The sequence below is a fragment of the Homo sapiens genome, chromosome 4 (assembly GCF_000001405.40).
Source record: "Homo sapiens chromosome 4, GRCh38.p14 Primary Assembly".
In the NCBI taxonomy this organism is placed as follows: Eukaryota; Metazoa; Chordata; class Mammalia; order Primates; family Hominidae; genus Homo; species Homo sapiens.
The window spans coordinates 80,554,150-80,569,202 of NC_000004.12; the positions used below are offsets into that span (position 1 = coordinate 80,554,150).

The 15,053-nt window shown below is 35.8% G+C and overlaps 1 protein-coding gene across 8 annotated transcripts in view, besides 1 other annotated feature; it reads left to right on the forward strand.

The window, feature by feature from the left end:
• CFAP299 (cilia and flagella associated protein 299) overlaps positions 1-15,053 on the forward strand; it is a 642,486-nt gene that overhangs the window by 232,885 nt on the left and 394,548 nt on the right. The window contains exon 1 of one of the 8 annotated variants that reach the window (XM_047449976.1): positions 11,629-12,355. The exons of the other annotated variants lie outside the window; for them this stretch is intronic. Coding sequence (XP_047305932.1) covers positions 12,297-12,355 — 59 coding nt within the window. The 5' untranslated portion in view covers positions 11,629-12,296. Of the gene's footprint in view, positions 1-11,628; positions 12,356-15,053 lie in introns of those variants that run through there. 8 annotated transcript variants of the gene reach the window in all.
• Positions 5,589-5,781: a silencer, noted in NCBI's record as "fragment chr4:81480892-81481084 (GRCh37/hg19 assembly coordinates)". NCBI's record gives its function as "represses an EF-1alpha promoter that drives an FKBP-Casp9 reporter gene in an ReSE screen in phorbol 12-myristate 13-acetate-treated (for megakaryocytic differentiation) K562 erythroleukemia cells {active_cell/tissue: K562(+PMA)}" and the evidence as "EXISTENCE:reporter gene assay evidence [ECO:0000049][PMID:32094911]".

Sequence of the window (15,053 nt, forward strand, 5' to 3'; positions counted from 1 at the left end):
TCTCGAGTTGATTTTTGTATATGGTGTAAGGAAGGGGTCCAGCTTCAATCTTCTGCATATGGCTAAGTTATCCCAGCATCATTTATTGAATATCAAGTCTTTTCCCCATTGCTTATTTTTGTCAGGTTTTCCAAAGATCAGATTGTCATAGGTGTGTGGTCTTATTTCTGTGTTATCTATTGTGTTCCGTTAGTTTATGTGCCTGTTTTTTCTACCAATGCCATGTTGTTTTGGTTACTGTGGCCCTGTAGTATAGTTTGAAGTTGGGTATCTTGATGCCTCCAGCTTTGTTCTCTTTATTTTGCATTGCCCTGGCTATTTGGGCTCTTTTTGAGTCTATATACGTTTTCCACTAGTTTTTTTTTTTTTTTTTTTGTCATGTGAAGAATGTCATTGGTAGTTTGGTAGAAATAGCATTGAATCTATGAATTGCTTTGGGCAGTATGGCCATTTTAATGTTATTGATTCTTTCTATCCATAAGCATGAGATGTTTTTCCATTTGTTTGTGTCTTCTCTGGTTTCTTTGAGTAGTGTTTTGCCATTCTCATTATTGAGATCTTTCATCTCCCTGGTTAGCTGTATTCCTAGATATTTTATTTTTTGTGTGACAGTTGTGAATGGGATTGCCTTCCTGATCTTGCTCTCAGCTTGGCTGTTGTTGGTGTAAAGGGATGCTAGTGATTTTTGTACATTGATTTTGTATCCCAAAACATTGCTGAAGTAGTTTATCAGCTGAAGGAACTTTTGGGCCAAGACAATGGGGTTTTCTAGATATAGAATCATGTCATCTGCAAACAGGGATAGTTTGACTTCCTCTCTTCCTATTTGGATGCCCTTTATTTCTTTCGCTTGCCTGATTGCTCTGGCTGGGATTTCCAATAATATGTAGAATGGGAATGGTGAGAGAGGGCATCTTTGTCTTGTTCCAGTTCTCAAGAGAAATGCTTCCAGCATTTGCCCATTCCGTATGATGTTGGCTGTGGGTTTGTCATAGATGGCTCTTGTTATTTTGAGGTATGTTTCTTCAATACCTAGTTGATTGAGAGTTAATGTGAAGGGGTGTTGAATTTTATTGAATGCCTTTTCTGTGTCTATTGAAATAATCATGTAGTTTTTGTCTTTAGTTCTATTTATGTGATGAGTCACATTTATTGATTTGCTTATGTTGAACCAAACTTGCATTCCAGGAATGAAGCCTACTTGATCATGGTAGATTAGCTTTTTGATGTGCTGCTAGATTTGGTTTGCCAATATTTTGTTAAGGAGTTTTACATTGATGTTCATCAAAAGATACTGGCATAAAGTCTTCCTTTTTGTTGTGTCTCTGCAAGGTTTTGGTATCAAGATGATGCTGGCCTCATAGAATAAGTTTGGGAGGAGTTTCTCCTTCTCAATTCTTTGGAATAGTTTCAGTAGGGATAATACCAGAACTTATTTATACACCTGGTAGAATTTGGCTGTAAGTCCATCAGTTCCTGGGCTTTTTTTGGTTGATAGGCTATTTATTACTGATTCAATGTCAGAGTTTATTACTGGTCTGTTTAGGGATTTCATTTCTTCCTTGTTCAGTCTTGGGAGGATGTATGTGTCCAGGAATTTATACATCTCTTCTAGATTTTGTAGTTTATGGGCTCAGAGGTGCTCATTGTAGTTTCTGATGGTTATTTTTATTTCTGTGGGGCCAGTGGTAACATTCCTATCATTTCTAGTTGTGTTTATTTGGATCTTCTATCTTTACAAATTGTGGAGAAACTAGGCAGACAGAAATATGACTCAAATTCTTTTTACAAAAGTATACTCAATGTACTTAAAGTATATTTCAAGGCTATAAATAGCTCAAAAGAAAAAGATTCTTTAGACTCTGAAAAAACAAAATGAAAACAATCAGCAACATTTCAAACAACAAAAGCCATACAAATTGTTTTTGTCTTCCATTAGTTCAGTGTATGCAATCAACTCCTATTCTACTTCATATTGGGTTAGCAATCTTTATGAACACATAAGCCTTTAAATTGGAGCCCTGGAAGTTTTGTCTCTAATCCAATGGCACAATCTCCAAAGTTATCAGAAAACTTGTATTTAAGAGTCCTTTTCGTGAACTCCTCCAAAGAAGCAAGATTGAACTGTAGCTGATTATAAGTCTCTTTTTTGAGAAGGATCAAAGAAAAACAAATTTTCGATGACAAAAGTCTTAAGACAGCTATGAAGACATGGTTGACAAGGAAATTTGTTTATTTTTGTGGCATACAACAATTTAACACAATAATTATATATTACTGATAATATATATTAAGACGTGTAAGAACTTTAGGAATCTCATACAATCCTGGAACACATATGAACAACACATCTATAAATATAACCGAAAGGAAGCTAAACACCATCTCAGATTTGACAGTACTTCCTGTATAATTCTAACTTTACAAATAAGCCTAATAAGCCCGATATGTCTCTCTTGGATTTCAGGGAACTTAATATCCAAAAAGTTTAGTTTGAGGTCAAAAGATTGAATTTAACATGAAATTTTGCTGTTGGAAAGTCTGTCAGATTTCAAAGGTTTAAGACACTAGATATCACAAAATAGGATCACAAGTTACTATAAAATTGTCATTCAAGTAGCCAAAATTATGTTTACTCCTCATAGAGAGGAAACATATTTTCCCAATCAATAAGACTTAAGACAGCATGAGGCCAAGTATATCTGTCTCTTCCCCCTCCATTTTCTCCCTGCAGTTCACCCAAAAGGTAAACAAAATCTCTTATCTCTTAATATTACATAAACATTTTGCTCAAAAGAGAAAACCAAAATTTCACCTTTTGTATGGTATATAACTAAAGCTAATTTTAATAAAACCTTATAAACAAATCTGTCTAATTTTAATCAGTTTGACCATAAGGTAAGGTTTTCACAACCTTTTTAAATTTTCTATTAAACCACAGATCAACACTTCAAGAAAGTCCTGTTATTCCAACACATGGCCCCAGATACTGGCCTTGCATCAGTGTCCTTTCTATATTAATGTTTAATTTACAGAAAATATCTGAACTAACCTTGTAACTCAAAATTGGCTATTGCAATCTTATGTACCCACCTCTTCCATGACAGTCCCTGGGCCTAGAAGAATTGGATAGTTTAATTTCTGGTCTTGTGTCTCACAAAAGCAGTTCATTTTGATAATCACCTTCTCCTGAGTGTGTTGTTGATGCTTCAACTGGTGTCAATGCTCAGAATTTAGCAGGGGGTCAGTACCTTTTTCAGATCCAAGAGTCAAAGACCTGTAACTTAACAGTACAAGCATTAGTTAATAAGATACTTATACTATAGAAGGTCCTATCATTCTCTCTAACACGTACAAATTAAAACGCTGTGATTTAGGAGTTACTGCCATCAGTACTTCAAAGCAGTGTATTAAAGTAGTTAGGTTACTCATTGCATATATCTGATTGCTAGTATTCTAGTGACAGAACTGTGACCAAAACCATCAAAAATGTCTTAGGTCCCATGCCAAAAGTATCAAAGTAAGACAACTAACTTTACGTAATCTCCATCATTAAAAAATAGTTAATGCAAATACCAGTTTTGGAAATTCAGTATCAAGATAATCTCCTTTTACTTAAATACTATACAACAACAAAAAAGGACAAAGCAAGAACAAACACAAAATAATTTCTTTTCGGCTACTTTAAAAGAGCATCATCACATATTTCCAAGATTGGTTTCCAGTTACAGTACTGACAAGTGATTAGCTAACTTTCGCCACCAAAATCTTCAAACCAGAATGACACTTGCACATATTTTGTTTTCAAGTGCACACTTGAAGGCCCATCAGTAATAAATAACTTGGGATCAAAAATCACTAGAAAGCCTCACATTTTTTATTACTACTTACTCCAAGTGAATGTCACTTAATTTTAATAATGGTCAACACAACTGAATTAGTATGAGAGAAATCCCAATTAATATAATTTTCTTAATGACAAGGCCAATCTTTTCTGAACGTTAAAACTTTGAACCCATGTCACAGTTTCTCTCTGTTTCCTAAAGAAGATGTAAAACCTACTAAAATTACTAATTAAATTGAATTACCTTGGAAATAAACATCATTTAAACAATTTTATTCTCACCTACTTTTTCAAATAATAAATAATGTACAATTTCTGTTCAGAACTTACTGAAGACTTTTGTGGTTTTTTTGTTTGTTTGTTTGTTTGTTTGTTTTTTTTTTGGCCAGGAACCTTAAAGTTCTCATAGCTCTCTAGATTATTAGTGGCAAGCAAAACCAACCAAATTCTAAATGGCTGGTGTGCAAATCAATTCCTGCAGTCCTGACAAAGGTAGCTTAGGAATTCCAGAGGTCATTCTCCTAAGAAGGCACAGATCAACACAAACTTGAGGTTAACTCTTGACTCAGAATAGTTAAAATAACTCCACCAAATAAGAGCGTCAGGCAGAGATGATTTCATAGGAATTGAACAAATTTTAAATATTTTATAATCCCAGATGCGACTTAGACTATTTCAGAGCATTGGAAAAAAAAAAGGAAAACTTCTAAATTCATTTTTTGAAGTGTGTAGAACATAGATTAAAAAACCTTATAAAGATTATATCTAAAAAGGTATCTGCAGACTGACCTCACTTATGAATATAATAGAGAAATAAGTAAAATAGAACACTGCATTTAAAAATAATATCTCATGAGTAAGTGAGGTTTACTCTAAAAGTACAAGAGTAATTCAGTAGAAGACAAGAAACGGTATAATACATCATATAAATAGCACTAACGAGAAAAATCATAATCATTTCTATTTTGGTTATTTATTGCTGCAATAAAACCACCTCAAAACTCAGTGATTGATAAAAATATTTATTTATTTGGTCATTACTCCACAAATTGTGCAGGTCTTGGCTGGGGTAGCTTGTTTCTGCTCCATGTGGTATCTGTTAGGGCTGGAATGTTCAAAATGGCTTCTTTAGTTATATATCTCCTCAGCTGGGAATGGCTGGAACAGCTAGGGGTTGGTTTCTCTTTTCATGTGAACTTTCCTTGTAGCTAGTTTGGGTTTTCATATAACATGACAGGTTCATGGTAGTTGGACTTCTTGCATGGTAACTGGCTTTTCCCAACTGCAAAAGTGGAAGCTTTGAGGACTTTTTAGTATTACTTCTGCCATAATATATAGATCAAAGAAAGGGGAAGTAGATTGTACTTCTTGATGCAGGAGTGCAAAGCTCATTATGAGAGAATATAAGGGAAGAGGTGGAGCAAGATGGGGGAATATAAGGCTTCACCCATAGTCTCTTCGCCAAAAGACACCAAGTTAACAACTACCTCCACAGAAAAAAAGCGCCTGTGTAAGAACCAAAAATCATGTGAGCCCTCAGTAGCTGTCTTTAACTTTATATCACTAAAAGAGGCATTGAAGAGATAGAAAACACAGTCCTGAGTGGCAGATGCCAGTCTCCTCCCTCACCCCTGGCAGAAGCTGCATTGTGTGGAGATCATCTCTGGGCAGTGGGGGAGAGAGAACACTGCAATTGTGAGGCATTGAACTCATTGCTATCCTGCTAGAGTAAAAAGGAAACCAGACCAAATTCAGCAGATGCCTGCCCATGGAAGGAGCATTTAAACCAGCCCTAGCCAGAACAGAATTGACGAAACTAGTAGTTGGAACTTGAGTTCCCACACCCCTCACTACTGAGGGCTACTGTACTCTGTGTCTCCAAGTAAACTTGAAAGACAGTCTAGGCCATAAGGACTGCAATGCTTAGGCAAATCCTAGTGTTGAACTAGGCCTAGAGACAGTGGACTAAGGGATCACATAACATACTGAGACACCAGCTGGGACAGCCAAGGGAGTGCTGGCAACATCCCTCCCCTAACCCCAGGCTGCATAGCCCGTGACTCCAAAAAAGACCCCTTCCTTCTGCTTGAGGAGAGCAGAGGTAAGAGTGGGGAGGACTTTGTCTTGCATCTATGATACCAGCTCAGCCACAGGACAGAGCACTGGCCAGAGTTGTGAGACCCCTGTTTCAGGTCCTAACTTCTAGACACACCCTGGGTCAGAAGGGAAACCTCTGCCTTGAAGGAAAATACCCAGTCCTGGAAGCATTTATCACCTGCTAACTGAAGAGCCCCTGGGCTCTGAATACCAGCAGTGATACCCAGGTACTATGTCAAGGGCCTTGGTGAGCCTCTAGACTTGCTGGCTTCAGGTGAGACTCAGCACATTACCAGCTATGGTGGCTACAGGGCAAAACTCCTTTGGCTTGGGAAAGCAGAGGGAAAAGTAAAGGGGACTTTGTCTTGCACTTTAGGTACCAGCATAGCCACAGGTGGGTAGAGCACTAAGTGGGCTTTTGGGGTCCCCGATTCCAGGACTTGACTTTTGGGTCGCATTTCTGAACCTGCCCTAGGCCAGAGGGATACCCACTGCCCTGAAAGGTGAGTCTCAAGCCAAGCAGCATTCATGACAAGCTGACTAAAGAGACCGTGACCCTTAAGAGAACATCAGTGGTAGTCTGGCAGTACTCCACAGGGCCTGGCCTGTTGGTGGCTTTGGGGTAAGTCTCCTCTGCCTTTGGAAAAGAGAGGGAAGAGTGGGAAGGACTATGTTTTGTGGTCTGAGTGCCAGCTCAGCTGCAATACAATAGAACACCAGGTAGAATTCTAGGCTTTTTCACTCTAGCCCTTGACTCCTGGATGGTGTTTCTGGACCCACGTGGGTCCTGTGGGACCTCGCCACCCTAAAGGGAAGGACACAGACCTGTCTGGCTTTGCCACTGGCTGATTGTAGAGCTCTGAGGTCTTGAGTGAACATAGGCTTAGCCAGAGAGTGGTTACATCACGCCTTGATGAGACTCAGTGCTTTTCTGGCTTCAGGTCTGATGCAGTGCAGTCATAGTGGTGGTGGTCACAGGGGTGTTTCTGTCACTCCACCCCCAGCTTTAGGTGGCTCAGAACAGAGACAGAGAGTCTATATGCTTGGGAGAATGTAAGAGAAGAGAACAACAGTCTCTGCCTGGTAATCCAGTGAATTCTCCTGGAACTTGTTCAAGACCATCAAGGTGGTACCTCTATGAGCCTGAAAGAACCACAGCATTACTGGACTTGGGGTGCCCCCTAAAGCAGATACACCTTAGATCACAACACTCAAGTCCTTTTAGATATCTGAAAAGACTTCCCAAGAATGATAGCTACAAATCAGCCCAGATAGTGAAGGCTGCAATAAATACCTAACTCTTCAATGCCCAGACACCAAAGAACATTTATTAGCATCAGTGCTATCCAGGAAAACATGACCTCATCAAATGAACTAAATAAGGTATTGGACAAAACCTGGAGAAAATGTGTGACCTTTCAGACAGAGAATTCAAAATAGCTGTATTGAGGAAACTCAAAGGAATTTGATGCCACAAAGAAGGAAATCAGGCTTCTATCAGATAAATTTAACAAAGAGATTGAAATAAAAAGAATCAAGCAGAAATTCTGGAGGTGAAAAATGTGACTGTCATACTGAAGAATGCATTGGAGTCCTTTAATAGCAGAACAGATCAAGCAGAAAAGAGAAATAGAGAGCTTTGAAGAAAGCCTATTTGAAAATACACGGTCAGAGGAGACAAAAGAAAAAAGAATGAAAAACCATGAAGCACACCTACAAGATCTAGAAAATAGCCTCAAAAGGGCAAATCACAGAAAAACACAGACTATAACACTGTAACTGTGTTGTGTAAACTGCTTATCTTAAATAGAAAGACTAAACAATGAGCCAATCAACAATAATAACTACAACAACTTTTTAAGACATGGACAATGTGGTAAGATATAAATAAAAACAACAAAATACTAAAAAGTGAGGGAATGAGGTTAAAGTGTAGAGTTTTTGTTTTCTTTTTGCTTGTTTATGCAATCAGTGTTATTTTCAGCTTCAAATAATGGACTATAAGATAGTATTTGCAAGCCTCATAGTAACCTCAAGTAAAAAAACCTACAACAGATACACAGAACTAAAAAGCAAGAAATTAAATCATACCACCAGAGAAAAAATCACCTTCACTAAAAGAAAGGCAGGAAGGAAGGAAACAAGGAAAAGAATACCACAAAATAACCATAAAACAAATAACAACATGGCAGGAATAAGTCCTTACGTATCAATAATAACATTGAGGCTGGGCACCATGGCTCAAGCTTGTAATCCCAGCACTTTGGGAGGCCAAGGAGGGCAGATCACTTGAGGTCAAGAGTTCGAGACTAGCCTGTCCAACATGGTGAAGCCCTGTCTCTACCAAAAATACAAAAATTAGCTGGGTGTAGTGGCGGGTGCCCGTAATCCCAGCTACAAAGATTAGAGCCTTTGTTAGGCTCTAACCAGCTTAACAAATTAAAAATAAAGACTATCCTCGGGAGGCTGAGCCATGAGAATCATTTGAACCTGGGAGGTGGAGATTGCAGTGAGCTGAGATCATGCCACTACACTCCAGCCTAGGCAATACAGCGAGACTCAATTTCAATAATAATAATAATAATAATAATAATAATAATAATAACAACAACAACATTGAATGTATAAAGACTAAACTCTCCAATAAAAAGACATAGAGTGGATGAATGGATTAAAAAATCCAGACCCATTGATCTGTTGCCTACAAGAAACGTACTTTACCTGTAAAGAACCCACAGACTGAAAATAAAGGCGTGGAAAATAAGATTCTATGTCAATGGATACCAAAAAAGAGCAGGAGTCACTATACTTATATCAGACAAAAAAATGTTTCAGACAAAAATTATAAGAAGATACAAAGAAGGTCACTGTATAATGATAAAGAGGTCAATTCAGCAAGAGGTTTCAACAATTTTAAATATATATACATGTACCCAACACTGGAGCACCTAGATATGTAAAGGAAATAATATTAGACTAAAGAGAGAGGTCCCAATACAATAATAGCTGGAGATTTCAACACCACACTTTCAGCATTGGATAGATCATCCAGATAGAAAATCAACAACAAAAAAATCAGACTTAATCTGCAGGATAGCCCAACTGAATTTAATGGATATGTATAGAACATTTCATCAAAGAGCTGCGGAATACACATTTTTTTCCTCAGCACATGGATCATTTCCAAGGATAAACCATATGTTAGGTCACAAAACAAGTCTTAAAACATTCAAAAAATTAAAATAATATCAAGCATCTTCTCTGACCACAATGGAATACAACTAGAAATTAATAAAAAGAATAATTTTGGAAACTATACAAATACATACAAATTAAATGATATGCTCCTGAGTGACCAGTTGGTCAATGAAGAAATTAAGAAGGGAATTGAAAAATTTCTTGAAAGAAATGATTATGGAAACACAACATATCAAAATCTATGGGATACAGCAAAAGCAGTACTCAGAGGTAAGTTTATCACTATAAGTGCCTACATAACAAAAGAGGGAAAACTTCAAATGAACAATCTAGTGATGCATCATAAAGACCTGGAAAAGCAAGAGCAAACCAAATCCAAAATTAGTAGAAGGAAAGGAATAATAAAGATCAGAGCAGAAATAAAGGAAATTGAAATGAATAAAACAACACAAAATATCAATGAAACAAAGAGTTGGTTTTTGAAAAGTTAAACAAAATTGACAAACCTCTAACCAGGTAACAAAGAAAAAAAGAAAGACTATCCAAATAAATAAAATCAGAAATGTAAAAATCACATTACAACTGATACTGCAGAAATTCAAAAGATCATTAGTGGCTACCATGAGCAACTATGAGTTGGAAAATCTAGAAGTGGACAAATTCTTAGATACATACAACCAGCCAAGTTTGAATAATGAAGAAGTCCAAAACCTGAACAGATCAATAAGTAATGAGATCAGAGCTGTAATAAAAAATCTCCTAGTAAAGAAAAGCCTGGGACCTGATGGCTTCACTGTTAAATTCTCACAAACATTTAAGAAGAGTTAATACCAATCCTACTCAACCTATTATAAAAAATAGGGGAGGAGGGAATACTTCCAAACTCATTCTACAAGGCTAATATTATCCTGATACCAAAATGAGACAAGACACATCAAAAAAGGAAACTATAGACAAATATCTCTCATGAATATTGATGTAAAAATCCTCAACAAAATAGAAGCAAACCAAATTTAACAATACATTAGAAAGATCATTCATTATGATCAAGTGGCATTTATCCCTAGGATGCAAAGATGTTTCAACATATGCAAGTCAATCAATGTGATTCAGCCTATAAACAGAATGAAGGATAAAAACCATATAATCATTTCAATTTATGCTGAAAGAGTATTTGATATAATTCAACATCCCTTTATGATAAAAACTCTCAAAAATCTGGGGACACAAGGAACATAACTCAACATAATAAAAGCCATGTATGAAGATTCACAGTTAGGATCATACTAAATGGAGAGAAACTGAAACTCTAAGATCTGGAATGTGACAAGAATGCACACTGTCACCACTGTTATTGAACGTAGTACTGGAAGTCCTAGCTAGAGCAGTCAGAAAAGAAAAAGAAATAAACGGCATCCCAATTGTAAAGGAAGTCAAATTATACTTGTTTGTAGATGATGTAATCTTATATTGGAAAATAACTCAAGACTCCACCAAAAAAAAAGCAAACAATTCAGTGAAGTTGCAGTAAACAAAATCAACATACAAAAGTCAGCAACCTTCCTATATGCAAACAATGAACAATCTGAAAAAATATTTAAAAAGTAATCTCATCTACAATAACCACATATAAAATTAAATACCTAGGAATTTACTTTACAAAAGAAGTGAAAAATCTCTATAACGAAAACTATGAAACACTGATTGTTGATAAGGATGTAAAAACTTGTACTCTTAAAACTGTACGTGGGACTACAAAATGGCACAATCCCATTAAAGAGGAACTTTATAATATTGAACACAATAAAATGTTTATGTACTCTTTGACCGGAAATCTTCCTTCTAGAATTTATTCCAAGCATATACTGGCAAAAACATGAAATGACCTATACACAAAGCAATATGCTCAAGCAGTATTTTTCGTAGCAAATAAGGGAAAACAACCCAATGACTATCAGCAGCTGAGTGACTAACCTATTGTATATTCCTACAATCAAGTACTATGTACCTAAAAAAGGAGTGAAATGTCTGTTACTACTATGGCATAATCCCCTGAATATAATGTTAAGTAAAAAAGCAAGGTCAAGGCAAACATGTATAGAATGTTTGCTTTTATTAAAAACAATATGAACAGTTGAAAAGCAATATGACTAATTCTTTTTTTAAAAAACGATCTATGTAGAAGGAAGGGAATAAAAGGGTAGAAAGGACTCGGGGAGATGCAAGCTAAACTTCTGTAAATCTTAAGTTGTAGATTTCATTGTAGAATTCTGTGAATATTTTATATAATTAAAAAGAAGAATTTAAAATATCTTAAACATTGAAAAATAAATGAACCTAAATGTGTATCTAGCTGGTATCATACCTATTTAAAAATGACCTTTTGCAACTGAAGTTACTTTAAAACATAGTAATTTTGCCATACATCCATAATGAGATATACTCTAAGGAAAAAAAAGATCTGCAAAAGCCTTAAACTGTTTTGAATAAACACGTTATTGATAATAATATTGGCAATTTTGTTTTGAAACTATATTTGTGATAAAGCAAATGAGTTATGTTGGGGTTTTTGAACCTTGGGATTTTTTATTTGGATGAAAGGAGACTGTGATAGAGATGTGAGTGTATCTCATACAGGGAGTGTTAACTGACTTAGGGTCTCATCACTCTTTGAAATCCGTGATGCATTTGCACCCTCATGACATCTACCATGGGCTGCTTTCCCCCAGTGACTAAGTGTGGCCAGGGTATTAAGGTGAACCCATTGCAGGGAGCCATAGCCCTTTATTGGCTGACTTTGGCCCAAGAACTCCTGTATGGCTTTGTTAAACCTTCCATAGAAGTCTAGGATACTTCCATCCAACTCTATCACTTTCTCAGTCTTTCTCTCCATCACTTGGAGTCAAACTTATATCCCAGTATTTCAAGTTTTATTAAAGGAGTAATAAAAGGCATATACAGAGGGTATCATGCAATAAGCCTTTCTAATAGTATTTTTTTAAGTATCTTTCTTCCCAAACTCCCCTATCTAAACCCCTCTTTTTTCCTTACAGTCCCTACCCTATTTGTACACTCCTCTGCTCTGAACATTGAAGAGCCTGCAATTCCTGAAGAATGACAGTCTCTATCACTGTGTACAGTTACTGAGAAATGCAGCATGGGCTCTGACTGTTTTCCTCTGGTAAAGCGTTGCCCCCATTTTACCACAGTTTCCAGGTATTTATTTAGAATCTTTCAAAAATTAGAAAAACTCAGAGACTAGACATATGTAGCATAAGGACCTTCAGCTTTCTAAAGCCTCACTTGCTCGTGACCAGTTTCAGCGTTCTCCAGAGTAATAACTGCTTCCCACAGATGGAGAGGGACCTGGAGGCAGGTGTACCAAACAAGAGGTTTCTTTCTTTGCTTTCATTTTTTTCATTGGCTTTCCTTGTGTAAATATAACCAGCAGGTCAGGAAGTACATTCCAAATCAGGATAAAAGATGTAGCTGCCTCCGAGGAGAGAATGAAAGTAAAGTTTTAATGTGTTTTCAGAATGAAATCGAACACATTCAGACACAAAGAACATCTATTTCCTCTCTAAGCACCTTTATCCCCTGAAAGTGTGAGACTATCTTGACCTACCATATTTAAGTATTAACTAGAGAAACTTGCCAGATGTACAAAAATGAGGAGTTCAGAGACAATTTCTTACGGAGAAGCCAACCCATTTTTTCTCCTTAAAATAAAAAAAAAACAAAAAGAAAAAGTTTTCATTGAAGAAAGTAAAGTCTGACTGATGTAAGACACTGTAGATCTGAAGACTCCCACTTGGATCTTCCTCAAGATAGAAAATGAGAAGAAACCTCTGTCTAGTGTGCATGTTAACATTTCTTGACTTTCTTCTGTGTGCCTCTAACAATTGAAATCTTTCCCAGAGATGCTGATAGCTTTACTGTACATTTGATAATTTAAAAACTCTTTCACATAAAAAAAGACGGGGAAAGTGATGTTATTTTCCTGCTCAGTGGAAATTTGACCCTCATTTCTTCTCACCAATAAATGAATTTCATTTCTCAAGTTATGTTCTCCTTTTCTGAAAGTTATTAAAATATAAATTGATGACCTCTTGGAATTTCCATGGAGATCACTGTATTTCAAAAATTCTTAAACCACAAATCTCTCCAAATGTAACCCTGACTAACCTGGCTCCTAAAGAATATTGTTTCAATTGTGAAAAGGCAATTAAGAATAGTTTACGAAAAAAAGGGGAGGAGACTAAAAAAGCACATATCGGATTTAGCTCTACTGTTCTCTCCCTTCGTGTTTAAATAATAATCTCTCAGAGATTAAAGGCGGATTGTCTGTTGAATTGATGCTCAAAGGAAAGGAGCTGAAATTGTTCACTGGTTGCCATTTTCCTTCTATGCAATTTTCACTTAAAAATGCTATTCTAATGTATTTATATATATATATATATATAAGTACATAAGATTTTGTTGTTTAAATACAAACGAAAAGTTGTTTAAAGTCTAGGAAACCAATACATAATTAGAATGATGCTTGAAATTTTCATTTATTTTTGCAACTGTGAAATGTAAGCAAAATATATTATTTTAAAAGTTTATATTATATCCTAATACAATGTATATTTGAATCAATTAAAATGTAATATGCATTATTAAATCAGTGAAAGCCTCGCTTTTAAAAAATAATTATTTTCATTTTAATTATAGATTCATTTTCTGCTAATTCAACAAATAACTTCAAAAATTTTGAGGAAAAGATGACTGGTGTAAAATTTTTAAAAAACAATAATAAAAGTTTGTTTCTAAAATGTTAGAAAAAATGAGTTAGAAAAACTTTTAGGGAAAAATGAGTGTGTGTTATTCTGATCAATTAATATTATACAAACATACTGAACCTATTTTATATATGTGTATGCTTCTAATTGGTCTACATTTTTTATAATCCAGTCAGTTACATTGAAGCTTCTACATCAAAATTTAAACTTAGAATTGAATAAGTTGTGATTAGAATTTAATTATTTAGAAAATTGCAAAACTATGTATCATGTTTCCTTTGTTATTCTCTGAAATATGTGAATACTAGAATGGTATAAAATTAATCCTAGAAAAATCGCAACCAAAGTTTTGTAAATTTAATCAATTTTCTCTTTACTTTCAAGAAAACTAAAAGAAAAATGACAACAATATCAAAAATAAAAGTTGTTGAAAGAGAGATGACAGTCAAGCCTTTTCCAAGCCTATGTTGTGGTGATCACATTATTTTTCTCTTAAGATAGTGAATATAGTGGATTGCATTAATTTATGTTATATATTATAGTAACAAAATACAATTTATTGAGTCTTTACTGCAGACTACGTTGAAATATAAGGTACTCAGTTTTCCTGGCTTCCTGTATGGAGAGGAGAAAGAAGAAAGGATGGCATGAAGGAGATGATTTATGGAGCACATGATTTTTGAGTCTTGTATAGACGTTTTTAGAGAAGAGGGGGAAGAAGGACCTTTTAGACTGAGGGTTGAGGGCTATCAAGGGCACAGGGAACTGTGCAATGGCTGTAGTGTACATGTAATTAGGTTAATGGCAAATCAAAAGATAAGTTTCTGGCCCCAGAGGATAATCTCTGTGTACTATAGCCTCAGTAAGTAAATTGTAAAGCAGGAGGAGATAGAGACTGGACCACAGTTTTATTGGTGGCCATGTTCTCTACACATGACCACACTGCCTATCAGGTAGCCAGCCAGCTAAGGCTCTGTTAGCAACACTCCCTCTTTGTCTCCTCAGGCTTGAGGGTGAGAAGAGCTTCCTACTCCGTCATTGTGGCTAATTCTTGTGTGTTTCCATCACCCTTTGTGAACATTCTGAACCCTGTTGATAGCTCCATTATACTCTCTCCCCTTAAGCTCTTT